The 14,367-nt window shown below is 37.6% G+C and overlaps 1 protein-coding gene across 1 annotated transcript in view, besides 1 other annotated feature; it reads right to left on the bottom strand.

Annotated features, from left to right (window-relative positions):
- The window catches only part of CYB5B (cytochrome b5 type B), a 41,646-nt gene continuing 28,516 nt past the window's right edge, over window positions 1,238-14,367 (bottom strand). Inside the window, exons 4-5 of the mRNA NM_030579.3 lie at window positions 8,381-8,409; window positions 1,238-5,072 (exon numbers count right to left, since the gene is read on the bottom strand). Of these exons, the coding sequence (NP_085056.2) occupies window positions 4,982-5,072; window positions 8,381-8,409 (120 nt within the window). The 3' untranslated portion in view covers window positions 1,238-4,981. The remainder of the gene's footprint in view (window positions 5,073-8,380; window positions 8,410-14,367) is intronic.
- Window positions 12,309-12,526: a silencer, noted in NCBI's record as "fragment chr16:69488879-69489096 (GRCh37/hg19 assembly coordinates)". NCBI's record gives its function as "represses an EF-1alpha promoter that drives an FKBP-Casp9 reporter gene in an ReSE screen in HepG2 liver carcinoma cells {active_cell/tissue: HepG2}" and the evidence as "EXISTENCE:reporter gene assay evidence [ECO:0000049][PMID:32094911]".

Genomic DNA, 14,367 nt, shown 5'->3' with positions numbered 1-14,367 from the left:
AGTGAACCAAGATCACGCCGCTGTGCTCCAGCCTGGGGGACAGAGTGAGACTCTGTCTCAAAACAAAACAAAACAAAAACTCTGGCTCTCCTCTTACCTCTGTGGTCAAGTCAGGTGGCTGTCTGAGTTGCCATAAAAATGTCCTTACAAGGTAGACAGGGACTACCTTGTAAGGACACTGTAAGAGTAAGGATCAGCAAGGTTTGTAAACCACATTGCATGGCACATAGTAGGCATCAGAGAAATGACAGCATTGCAAGTGCATCCTCATGTTTCACCTGAAAAGCCACTCTAGTCTCTCACTGCTTCATCAAATAATTTTGTTTTTAAAATGCTGGTATATATGTGATTAAGCTGACTGGGCTTTGAAAATACATAGTAATCTAGTTCACTAATTAACGTTAGATTTATGCTATCAATTATCAGCAGTTTAACAGATTGTGTGGGTATTTCTTCCCTTAAATTTACATAATTGGACAGTCTTCTACCTCAGGCTTTCACGAATCAACCAGGATTTGTCAAGCACCTACCCACTATTCAGCATCAGGGACAGTGCTGTGATAATAAATTCTTACTAGTATCAAAGATTAAACATTAAATTCAAACTTTGGTAACAAGAATGGGGTTATCCTTTCCTGTTAGTAATCCTCAGTTCCTGTGACAGTGAAATAGCCGAGCCCTAATGAACAATCTCTCAACAGAAATCTGATATGTTAGTAATGTTAGATGGCTATCAGTATGTTTCAAAGGTAATTATAAAAACGGTTTATTTCCCTTGTTTTATTAACACAGTCACTAAACTTCAATCTCAGTGTTTAATTTTCCCCAACAGTTTAGCTATTTCCAAGAAAAACAATCATTTGAAGACTGGCATTGCAGATAACAAAACAGTATTACCTGGTACTGGCTTCTCTGTCAGTAGGTATTTTCAGTGGAAACAGAACCTCAAACCTGGCTACCCCGTTCCCACTTCACAGCCATTAAAACACAGCCTTGCTTTTTGCATTTCACGATTATCAAATGAACGATTCACTTCACGAAAAGAACAGTGAGGAGAATCCTGGAGAACCACGGAACTCCCCACCACGTTATGCTAAACACACCATTAGCACAGACACGGGAGACTGTCATGCTTCTGAAATCCTTTTCTTCCAGAACACCTGAGGATTACAAAACCAACACTTCTACTTAAAAAACACCTTTTTAAATTAAAAATAATAAGTGTAGTCGGGGCAAGAAAAGGAAAACAGTGTCTTTATTGTGTGTAGTTCTAACAAACGTTCACTGTGTGCGCATTCCAGCAGAAAGAGACAAAGATCTTTGTTCAAAATATTCTGAAAAAGGTAAACTAACTGCATTATTGAATACACAAAAGGAATGTTACCGTTACTTGTTCATAGTCAAAGGTGAAGTTAAAAAAAAAGGGAAGTTAAATAACTGAAGTAATGGTTTGCCCAAATAGCAAACGTAGGATACAAGCGTGGGCAAAGAGCAGCTACTGAAGCTCATGAGGAGGATGCTGGATATAGGGTAGGTAACTTGACAAATGCCTCTGCTTCTTTGGAACCTTCTTCCTAGATCACCCCCACAAATTCCAAACCTGGCTCTTTCAGAGCACAACAGCCAAATGTAACTAAACTCCTCATTACTTCTGTGATATTTGGCAACAGAATAAGATAGTTTAAAAAAAAATCAATTTCTTGTTGAGACAAGACATGTCTGAATCCATTTCTCTTGGGGTAGGAGGAGGTAATGAACATTAACGTTCTGCATCTCAATCTCCTAAAATGGAATTTAACCAGATAGATATCGCTTGAGATTTTAAAGCAGGAGATACCATAAGTAATGATACTCCAGGCCTGTAAAGCATTTTTCATTGTCCCACATTGCAGCTAAATGAGTATAAACTCGACAGTGTTCTGATTTCACAACATATGCATTTATGACAACTGCTAAAACAACTTTACAGGCTCAAACGATAGGTTCCAAGGGATTTTTGTTTTTGCTTAAGCAGTCTTGAAGAGATCTAAACACAAGATAAACTTTGACCCCACCACTCTGTTATCTTTACAAATGCAGAAGTCATTTGGAAACCAAAACCAATTGCTGAGTAGGGGCTGAGGAATTTTGGTGTCATTTCAAACTAGACTCTACTGAGGCAGGTTTAAACCCTGGCTCTCAGGCCAGGGGCAGTGGTACCAACACCCTCTATTTCGGTAGCATGAAACTTCTCTCACCTCCTCCTTCGTGTCCAGCAGCCATGATGTGTACAGTACAGTTTGCAGCAGCAGCAGCAGCAGCAGCTAGTCTTCCTCAGGAATAAACAACCGAACACCCCAGAGACCAGCTCCAGGTGGCACTGTCAGCCAATGGGGACTGGCTCCACTTGCTCTCCAGAGGGTTTTTCACCAGCTACCCATGTCAAGACTGTTTTGTGAATTCAAGTCTACTTCCTAAAAAAAAGGTCCTTTTGGATGGATTTGGCTAGTGTGCTATACTACTTTATTGTATAGAAAAACCTCTGCAAACTCTCACACAAGATTTAGCTTTCACCTGGCTGTTTTTGTAGGCAACAAAATAACAGTAAATGGACCCCAAAGTGATTTTCCAGATACAAAGTGACATCACATCGGCAGTAGTTCAGAAGAAGCCCTGGGTACTGGGGGATTTCATGGGTGGAAGAGACAAAGTCTAATTATCTTTTCCTCTGGCTCTCAGCAAAAAACAAGTGCAGATGTAAACAGGAAAAGAAAACCAATGTGAAGTAGAAAAACATACCTTTTGCATTGGCATTTACCTTAAAAATAACAAAAACACCAATTTTACTTAAGATGGTAGTTCTTTAACATTTCTTATAAGCCAGATGTTTTTCATTCAATTTCGGACATTGCCAACACACTTTTACAACTGATTCAAGTTATCTTCAGGCTTGGCTTTAGTTTGAATGTTCCCTTTCAAGCTCCTCAATACTCCTCTGTTCTTTACTTTTACCCCAATGTACTCCAATAATCACGCAATTTATTTATTACAGGCAATCATATACCAATCCTTCCTTGCCTTTAAATAGAGAAGCATCAAGTCATACCACTTTTGTTAAATAATAACCAAAGTTTTTTTCAATATTGTCTTAAAAGTAGCATCTTATAATGCATACAAACATTTTTCTAAAGATAAAAGCTTTACTAAACCCATATCCCTGATAATAAAAGTCAGCCAGAAATCTCCTAAAATTACTCCCAAATATATCCAAGTGTGCAAGTACAAGGTTAATATTATTTTGATGAATTCTGTATTCATTCAACTGCTAAATCACAGGATACAAGACCTGGGTTGAACTTTTTCTTAAATAGTTTACATGGGCAGTCCCTGGTTTGCTGGGCAGTTTCCTGTCTCATCAAATCCCTGGCAAGCTGGGAGGGAGGGAGGAGATGCTGAGCAGCCTCTATGGTCCTTCTTGAACCAAGCTGCTCCCTGCTGGATATGACAATGGCTCAGAAGCAGACTAGCAATTCTCAAAGGACAGGGAGAAAAATCACCACAGTTGCTGGCAGAAAACAGCCAGTGTACTATTTATTTCCTCAAGTGCTTCCATGGGGGAAAAAATAAAAGTCTAATATGCCAGAGAAATCATCATTGAACCAATAAGACACAGTAACATAATTCTAGTAACCTACTTCTCAATGAACACACATCTGAGAAAAAAACCGCCAGTATTTTATTCTCATGGAAAAACAGAACAAACCCACAAGTTGGAGTCACGGAGATAAAATACAGATGAAATGGAAAACGGTCTGTTGTCATGAACTCTCACTTTCAAATACCATTTTATATGGAAGTTACTTTACTGCGGGGCAAACAGAAGGCCATGCTGGAGTCTCTTACTTTTGGAAAATGGAGAATCAAAAATTTGCTAATCAACAAACAAAAAAGGAGGGAAACTCCTTGGTAAAGCTCTACAAACATAATTATACATTTATATTTTACCAATAAAAGATAGCTAGGGTAGAAAAAACAGATGGTTAGAAACTGGTGCCAAACCAAAGTGAAAGCTTTGGTGCCTTCTCTAAACTCCTATCCTGTTTCTTTAGAAAACACCAGTTTTCTAAAGAAAGATTACTCTGAATTCACCAGGGTTCTATCACCCCAATTCATCCCTACCTTTCCACCCCCAAGACACGAAAGGGCCATGTAGTTTTTTGTCCGGCACCACTTGGGAAGGGGCTGGGCTCAGGGGCTGGGAAGAGCTACCTGCTGCCCTAGCTTGAAAGGGAGGAGGTGGCCACACCATTCTTTGTATTTTTATCACGCACATAAAAGAACAAAAATCATTTGGCAGTTTTAAGTTTAATAGGTGCAAACCTTTACTTCAGGAATTAAACCCCTTATGATAAATAAAAGAATTAAATCAGATTTTTTTTTAATACAGATAGGGGTCTCGCTATGTTGCCCAGGCTGGTCTTGAACTCTTGGCCTCAAGCGATCTTCCCACCTTGGCCTCCCAAAGTGCCAGGATTACAGGCCTGAGCCACCACACCTAGCCCTAAATCAGAATTTTTTAAAAAAAATTTACTTAAAAGAAAAATGGAAAAATAAAACTTTCAACACTAGACTGCCGCCCTGTTAAGAATGTCTAATATGCAATCAAAGTATTGGAAAGCAGGCATTTTTACCAAAGAGCAATGTCACTATAACTTATGAACAGAAAGTTGTGAAATATAAGGGTACTCATGGAAACCAGTGAAGAGAGGAAACACCGGCAATTGTTCAACACGGAACAGTGAGCAGGTACTTTGGGAGTAAGGCTCTGAGAGATGGAAGACGCTGGTCTCAGATCTGAGGTGATGTCTGGCCAATCGTCTTGGCTCCAAGGGGGAAGAATGCAACTGGCAGGATTCGAGGAGAGGGCACTTCTGCAGCCCCCAAGCAAGTCTCTAGTTTTCGCCCCAAAGTGGATGCACTTTCTAACTTCAGCAAGGCCTCCTCAGGAGGATTTGCTTTCCGATGTGTAGTAGCGGTACAGGAAACCTAAGAGAACAGCGCCTATGATGGGTAAAATCCAATATGCCCAGCAACTAGGAATAGGGGGAGAAAGCAATAAAGTTGTTAATATTTTAAGCCAAATGTTCACTATCTTTCAGCTTTCACATGTTTTTATATAGGCAAGGAGTTTTTATTTACTTTGGGAAATTTAACTGCTTTTATCACAAAGTAGTTGGGGAAAAATATTTGAATTGGAGTGACAATATTACAAAGTAATTTTTTAAAAGGTTAAAAACAACCAATAGTATGATATCAAATAAGATGTCTTTAAATGCCTCTATATGTGTTTCTACAAAGTCATATAGTGGTTATTTCTGAGTTAGGGATTATGGATACTCTCACATTTTCTTCATTGTGCTTTTGCTTTTCACGTATTCTACAATTAAACATTTTTAAACAGGAAAAAACACCATTATGTATGTGACATTTCATATATGTATAAAAACATATCCATCCCAATATAAATTTGGAAGTAATCATATCTAATATAACTACCAGAAATATCCTATCTGCTTCATATGTATTTTAAAGATTTAATCCTTATGAAATAGGATAACCTACGAAATAGGGTTATTATTCTCATCTCATACAAGGGAAATATAAGCTTTGCACCCCAAATCCCAAAGCTAGAAAGGCAGCTGGACAGTCTGATTCCAAACCCATCCTCTTAATCCCTAGTTAAGTTTGGACACTAATAAGGATACACATACACACAAAGCATATACAGTTCTAACAGGGTGAAGCAAATGGCAGCTTCAAAAGTACTGCAAGAGACCTTCCTTAGGAGCTTCAGAACAGTCATCATTCTCCTTAACATAATAATTCTTTAATAGAACTTATTAGCACACTAGTTTTAAGGTATAATTCTTCCATGATCCAAATGACCCGGCTGCCCCTCTACTTAAGACATATGAGTCTTGGTATTAAAAGGTTTTGAAGTCAATAAAACGAGCTGAAGTTCATAAGAAAAATGATTCTCTTTGCCTAAACATGCCTAGCACTCTGTATGCTTACGTACAGCAGAAAGCTACTCTGGACTAGTTTAGAATATCAGCCAGGTAGCTTTGTTTACAAAACCAAGCAATATGGCACGTATAACAGCAATATGCACATGGGAACTCTGAAGTAATCTCCTGATAAGAGTAATGAATTCAGACTCCTTGAAGAGTAACCGCAAGAGACTGAAGAATCCAAAAGTAGGATCCTTGAGAAAACATTGAAGGAGAAAATTTCTTTCTTTCTTTCTTTTTTTTTTTTTTGAGACGGAGTCTCATTGTCACCCAGGCCGGAGTGCGGTGGCGCGATCTTGGCTCACTGCAAGCTCCACCTCTGGGGTTCACGCCATTCTTCTGTCTCAGCCCGTCCTCGTGATCCACCCACCTCGGCCTCCCAGTTTGCTGAGACTACAGGCATGAGCCACCACGCCGGCCAGAAAATTTCTTTAGTACAAAAGACTGAGAATGGTTGACACCAATCCTCACATAATCTTTCCTAATACTTAACTGCCACTGAGGAGAGAACCAGAGGAAATACATTTATACTGCATCACAGGAGATTCAGGTTCAACAATAACTTCCTACCATAAGACAGATTTTTCTTCTTGGAGATCCATCTAGACTACTACATGTTTGTGATTCCTTTATTTTTATTGTTTTGTAGTATTCCATTGTATGAATATACCACAATTTATTAGGGTTGTCTCTGATGTTTGAATATCTCGAATAACACTGCTATGAACATTCTTGCATATATTTCTGGGTGTACCTGGGCACACATTTCTATCAAGTATATCATTAGAAATGGAATTGCTGGGTCAAAAGTTAAGTCATCCTATCAAATTTACTAGATAATGCCAAACTGTTTTCCAAAGTGATTATACTCATTTACATTACCCTAGGAGTGCTTAAGAGTCGGTGATAAACTTTCCAACCAACTCTTATTTGCAAAATTTTTAATTTTTACCAATCTGGTTAGGTATGAAATATACCTATGATTTTAATTCACATATCACTAATGATGAATGAGATTAAACCTCATTTCCATATGTTTACATTTGTGTTTCCTTTTCTGTAAAGTGCTTAAATCTTTTTCTCATATTCTACTGAGGTTTTAAAAAACTGATTTGTAGGAATTCTTTATATCTTCTACCTAATAATTCTTTATCAGTTTTATGCTTTGCTTAAGTCTAAGTTTTATAGCATAAGCATAAGGTTTGGTTTTTTTTTTTGAGATGGAGTTTCGTTCTCGTTGCCCAGGCTGGAGTGCAATGGAGCGATCTTGGCTCACTGCAACCTCCACCTCCCAAGGTTCAAGCGATTCTCCTGCCTTGGCCTCCCAAAGCTCGCACCACCATGCCCAGCTAATTTTGTATTTTTAGCAGAGATGGGGTTTCGCCATGTTGTCCAGGCTGGTCTCGAACTCCTGACCTCATGATCCACCCGCCTCAGCCTCCCAAAGTGCTGGGATTACAAGCGTGAGCCACCGCGCCCGGCCCTGCATAAGCATAAGTTTTGTTTAAAATCTGCAATTTTGTGGCTTGTATTTTCAAAATTTTTATGCAGCATTTCGCTGATCCTAAGCCCTTAATATTAAGGAAACTAAATTTACTAATAGTTTGTAATTTTTTATACTGTGTCCGTTACCTCAAGTAATAGATCTGATACTTTATGGGAAAAAAAGACATATTTTCTTTCTCTGAAATACTTCGAGATGTCCAAAAAATAGAATGGCTAGCTCTATATAATCTCCACAAAGATACTGTACAAGCCAAGGATTCCACAGTCATTTTAGATAGAGGCACTTAAGGTAAGGCAATTTATAACTTTCAGAGCTAATACTAATGAATTACTAATATTAATGCCAAGGAATATATTGTAAATAAACCTGAGAAAACCCAAATTCCTAAATATGACCGTAGTATTTTTTTCTCCTGCAATATGTAATAATAGCACTTACCTTACAGAGTGGTTGTGAGAAGTAAATGCGATTAAGTTTTAAGTAGAATCATGTAGCTGGGTTGAACTTCGGGACTAAAGGCTGACCCAATAGTAGCTACCTGTCCATGCATCCTGGCCTCTTACTGAGTGTGATTCCAATTTATGTCACAATAAGATTAAAAAATGACTCAAGGCATGAAACTTTTAGATTATTCAAAATGGCTGAAACTGTAAAAGTTAATTTTTCTAATGTCAAGGAACAACTGAATTTGCAATGATTTGGGCCAAAAAAGAATTAGTTGTCAAACTGCACTCATAAGTTATGTTACATACATATACTTATGGAAGAGTCTCTTGCCAGACATTACCTTGAACGTATGGAAAGCTGTTAAGGAGATACTAACCTTTTGCATGTATCATTTTTTGAAGGGTCCTGAAATAAAAAAAAAAAAAAATTCAAAAATAACAAACAAAAAGAAAGAAGATTAACATAGCACATGTACATTTTCTTGATCAAGCTATGTCAACCCTGTAACTGATACCAGAACTTCATCTTTCATGCATTTTGGTGTTTACAAATATATAAGCAATGGATAGACTGGGAATTTTATTTCTGATAACATACTGGCACTTCACTAGGTTCCTTCCTAGTGAAGAATCACTAATGAAAGCATAGAAATGACCTAAACTTTTTTAGATGTTAAAAAATGTTAATGATACAAACTATATTGAAATGGACTACTCTGTGGTCATGATGATGTACCTGGTTCAGCTGGGCTTGCCACTGGCAATAGCTAACATCACACTTTCTAAAAACATTTTTTAAAGTCCAAAAAGCTCTTCTAACATGTAGATCAACTGTGAAATGCTCTAGATCATACAGATGATTGCTTGTAGATCACAAAAATATACTGGTTCACTCCTTGAAATCATAATAATTATGACAGGAGACCTTAGAATTGATTTCACAATGAAAAGAGAAAAAATGGAGTCAAGGGAAAGAAAATGATAAAATAATCTTAAAAAACAAATCTTGGCAATAAAAAGTACTGAAGTATTGATATATGCTACAAACTTCACAGCATTATCCTAAGTGAAAGAAAGCAGACACAAAAGACTACATATTATATAAATCTGTTTACATAAAATGTTCACAACAGGACAATCAATAGAGTTAGAAGTAGATTAGTAGTGGTTGCCTAGGGCTGGTGTGAGGAGGACGAGTTGTGGGGAAATGGAAAACGACTGCTAATGAATATGGGGTTTCTTCTTGGAGTGAGGAAATTGTTCTAAAATAGACTGCACAGTTCTGTAAATACACTAAAAACCATTGATTTGTACATTTTAAATAGGTAAACTGTATGGTATGTGAATTGTATCACGATAAAGCTGTTATTACAATTTTTTTACTCAATTCAAGTATCAAACGAGTTATTGATTCCATTAACCAGCTGTATAGTACAAAAGGCCTGCTAACTTACTGCCAGAGGACAATAACCCTTTAGCATAGGTTGCTGCTGCCCAAAATACCATCTTTGCAAAATGTAGAAGTATATCAGGGTATGAACATGGAATATTAGCTCTGCTTAACCACCGTTTTCAATAATCTCCAAGAATTTCCAGAAACCAATCACATTGGCCCCAATATACTTTAGAGCAGTCCATGAAATGAGTTTTAATTTCATATATCCAAAACACTGTCATGCAAATGAATACATGCCCCAAACCTGAAAGAAATTAGTCTGTAGGCAAGAAAAATGGCAAACGAAAGGTTTTAAAGAAACCATATTAACATACTTCTATACTTCTTTAAGACTTTAATGATTATCATTATCTGGGACATTTCAACTAGTCTAGTAAGGATCCGATTAATTAAAATGAGTTACAAGTCAATCTTTGAAAAATACAACAAATGTTACTATCTACAGATTCGGAAGGTAGGAGTGGTAGCGATGGTAGTATGTGCATCAAGTTAATTTATAATGCTGCCTTTTAAAATAAATATTCCACTACAGTAACCGAGAAATAATTGAATTCCATCAAGAAAATGTTCATGGTCTTTTATGCTTTAGCTACATAAATACCAATGATTTATAGACAAAAAATGTAGTTACTATTTTTAAAAGGGATAATTTGAAAGGCTTATATGAGAGCATCACAGCATAATATATGTATTATGATGTTTAATCTATAATTAGAGTAAAAATCATATACTTCATATAAATGGATTCTCTAAATTTCAAAGCTTTTAGCCTCTTTTACAATCAAAAGCCCTGGATCTCTGCTAAGTAGGGTGAGCCTTAGAAAAAGGTAATAAGCAACTGAAGAAGAAAGAGAACAAAGACAGCCAAAACCGTACTATGCTGAAATGTAAAAATTTCTAAACAATAAATAACTTAAAACATATGGTGTTCTTTGAACTAAGTACTGCAAAATGTGCCTGTTTTAAGATCAATCCATCCCTGGGGACGCAAAAAAAAGACCAACCTGTCTAACCCATTAAAGGAAAGAGAAGAGAAAGAGGCATACACTCCCTTTAGGATACTGATAGCCAAGTAGATGCAAACCATAGTGACCCCACTTTTAATCAAATACATAATAATCAAAGAGATGTTGAAGGCACAGCTCTTAGCAGCCAGGACTCTCAGCCAAATTTGGAAATAAACCAAATCGCTTGTTTTTAAACTGAAATGAAAAAAGTTCTATTAACACATAACCTCCCTTCACCTCCACCCTTCCCCTAGGCACAGTTCCCCCCAGTCTTCATTTCCACAGCTAAGCACTAGACTAAAGCTAATGGATGCTTAAGTGAAAAGCTTACAGTTTATAGTTGACTTTAATTTATCCCTTCAGGTATTGAGGCATATCTAGCTGGTTATGTCCATGCCCAGATTTTAATGCTCTCAATCTTTGGCCTGGAAAGTAATAATTGCAATACTATGATTTTAGTTACAAGTGGTGAATCAAATCCAAAGTTCTTCCAGCATAACCCCTACCAAGCAATTAATATGCATGCTTCTTTTTCTTCGAAAAGCTTAGAATACACTGGCAAACAACAAAATTGCTGTGAGTTTTGGTATTATAGGTTCTAAAACAAATTGCTGTTAAGTCTACTCTGACTTTAGCTCAAAACTCATGGAAATTAACTGTTTAAATAAAACTGGTTCCTCAAGTTCAAGGTTCATTAAGGCTTTAATTCCCCACTAAAATAAATAAGTAGGGCTGGGCACCTTGGTTCACATCTGGTGAATCCCAACACTGGGAAGGCTGAGGCAGGAGGATCACCTGAGCCCAGGAGTTCAAGGCTATAGTGAGCTAGGATTGTGCCACTGTACTCCAGCCTGGAGGACAGATCAAGACCCTGTCTCAAAAATAAATAAATATATTTATATACATATAAACACAAAAGACGGACTTTTTAGGGAAAAAGGAAATATTTTGTAATACCTGAATAGAATATTTATAAAGCTGCTCAAAATTAAAATTATATCTAATATCTTCAAGCCCAATGTTATAAATCAGTTTCCTCGTTTGTAAAACGAAAAGCTCAGATCAATGTGAATTCTAAAGTCATATTCAATTATCTCAACACAATTTTCTGAGCCAAGGACATTGTGGTGAAACCTAGAGCAGCAGGCTTCTAAAGGGTAGAGAGAAGAAAACACCATTCTCTTATGTCTAGGAAGACTGAAGAAGCACTACCGTAAGTAGATTTTTCTCTCTTCCACCAGCTACATAGAGGAGTAATTTCCCAGATCCTTGTCGCACCATAAGCACTGACCCAATTTGATAAGATTAAGAGAATGACAAAAAGGCCAGTCGCGGTGGCTCATGCCTGTAATCCCAGGCATGAATTACATGAGAGGCCAAGGTGGGCGGATCACGAGGTCAGGAGATCAAGATCATCCTGGCCAACATGGTGAAACCCCATCTCTACTAAAAATACAAAAATTAGCTGGGCATGGCAGTGTGTGCCTGTAATCCCAGCTACTCAGGAGGCTGAGGCAGAAGAATCGCTTGAACCCGGGAGGCAGAGGTTGCAGTGAGCCGAGATCACACCGTTGCACTCCAGCCTGGTGACAAGAGTGAGATTTCGTCCCCCCACCAAAAAAAAAAAAAAAAAAAGAGAACAACAAAGAAATGTCTCAACTGGCAACCACATAGAAAGGATGTGGGGGTCAATGGGTGTGGATTTCACGATGAACTTTGTTTATGAGAAAACATGAGAGAAGAGCACACACTTAAGGAATGGAGTGTACTTTGTCATCAGGACATAAATGTAGGAAAGAATGAACCAGAATCATGATTATGACGCATTACGACAGACAGGGAAGCCGGGTGCAGTGGCTCATGCCTATAATCCCAGCACTTGGGGAGGCCGAGACAGGCGGATCATGAGGTCAGGAGCTCGAGACCATCCTGGCTAACAGGGTGAAACCCCATCTCTACTAAAACTACAAAAAAATTAGCTGGGTGTGGTGGCACACACCTGTAGTCCCAGCTACTTGAGAGGCTGAGGCAGGAGAATCACTTGAACCCAAGAGGCGGAGGTTGCAGTGAACCAAGATCGTGCCACTGCACTCCAGCCTGGGCAACAGAGTGACACTCTGTCTCAAAAACAAAACAAAACAAAACAAAAACCCCAAAAAACAGGGCATTATACCTTCAGCCTATACAGCTTACATTTAGGCTTTCAAAAGCTTAAAAGGCAAATATAAGGTATATAAAGACTTTATGTTTTAATTCCTACATTGCTATTCCAAGAGGATTCTAAGTATTTAAAATTGGAAAAAGTAGATTTTAAGCCACAGGACACCTTTGGCAAATGTAATGGGTATTTAGGTGGTCTGGTAGAGACTGTGTAGCTTTGAATTTGGAACACTTTGGTATCCCTGTGGCCAGTAACTTATGAAAAACAAGTTGGGAACTTCTGGCTTCAAATTCTAAACTGGAAAAGATTTCTCCCCCTTAATACCATGGACCTTATAGCATGAGCTAACACTATATGAATTTTAATATTAGGTTCATTTTACCACCTAAAATGTTTTGAGTATTGAAGGTATATGATTTCAGCATTTTACAGTCCCAACTATGACACAGTCATGTGGTATGGATCTTGAGGACAGCCTTCTCATGAAGCTCCAATGTACTAAAATATTCAAGTCAGTAAGAACCATTTCTTTCTGGATGTGAATATAATTTAACAATTACTGCCTTGCAAAGTATATAATCCTAGAGTCAAACCGTTATATAAAAAAATTTCCCTGTAGATATGGCAAAATTCAAAGATGAAAAACAGCCCCTAAAACAAATTGCTATAAACTCTCTTAAGAACTCATTGTGATAAAATATATAACACCTCACTCAAGAAAAAAAATTAACACATTCACAGGATGATCTCTATCAGGACTTAAGAAGTGAAAAATTTGTTATAACATTGGAGGGCTGATTTGAAAAGAATGTTTCCTTACCCTTCTGAACCCTGTTTTGCAAAACTATACATCATTTCTAAGTAGAGCTTTACCAATAGAAGACATTAGTCCTTGAGAACCCTCAGCAAAGGGTATTTTGTCTTTCAGGAGTAATTTTGTCATCACATTCTATGCTTTCTTTCAAAAGATTATGTTACAAAATATAAGTGTATATGAAAATGGGAAATAAGCCAGGTGCAGTAGCTGGTGGCTCATGCCTGTAATCCCAGCACTTTGAGAGGCCAAGGCAGGTGGATCACCTGAGGTCAGGAGTTCGAGACCAGCCTGGCCAACATGGTGAAACCCCATCTCTACTAAAAATACAAAAATTAGCCAGGCGTGGTGGTAGGCGCCTGTAATCCCAGCTACTCAGAAGGCTGAGGCAGGAGGAGAATGGCTTGAACCCAGGAGGCGGAGGTTGCAGAGCCGAGATCGCGCCACTGCACTCCAACCTGGGTGACAGAGCAACACTCCGTTCCCCCGCCCAAAAACAAAACAAAACAAAAAAACACACAAGAAATCAGGAAATAACCAGACAAAATTCTCTGGTAAATAGCAATCACTGCTTGTCTAAAGGGCATCAGCATCCCATTCCAAACTTTAATAAATTAGGTAGTAGGTATGGTAGGGATATTAAATAATTCTTAAAAATAAAATTTTTAATTTGATGTAATCAACTAACTATATTTCATAATTATAAACAATATATTCCTTTTAGTTTCTCTCATAAAAGAAGTAAACTGTATGTTACATAATACATTATATAACAGAAAACTGTATGTATAATAAAAGTCAGTAGCATCTGGGAGAAAAAATGTAACTTTAAATGCAATTAATAGACTGCTTCTAACATGTAAAATTTACTAGATTTCATAAGTCAAGCTTCTTAAGTTAAAAATGAAGTTAAAAAAACACGTTAA

The sequence above is a fragment of the Homo sapiens genome, chromosome 16 (assembly GCF_000001405.40).
Source record: "Homo sapiens chromosome 16, GRCh38.p14 Primary Assembly".
Classification (NCBI taxonomy): Eukaryota; Metazoa; Chordata; class Mammalia; order Primates; family Hominidae; genus Homo; species Homo sapiens.
Note: the sequence above shows the minus strand (reverse complement) of the source record. Positions and strands in the feature narration are given on the sequence as shown.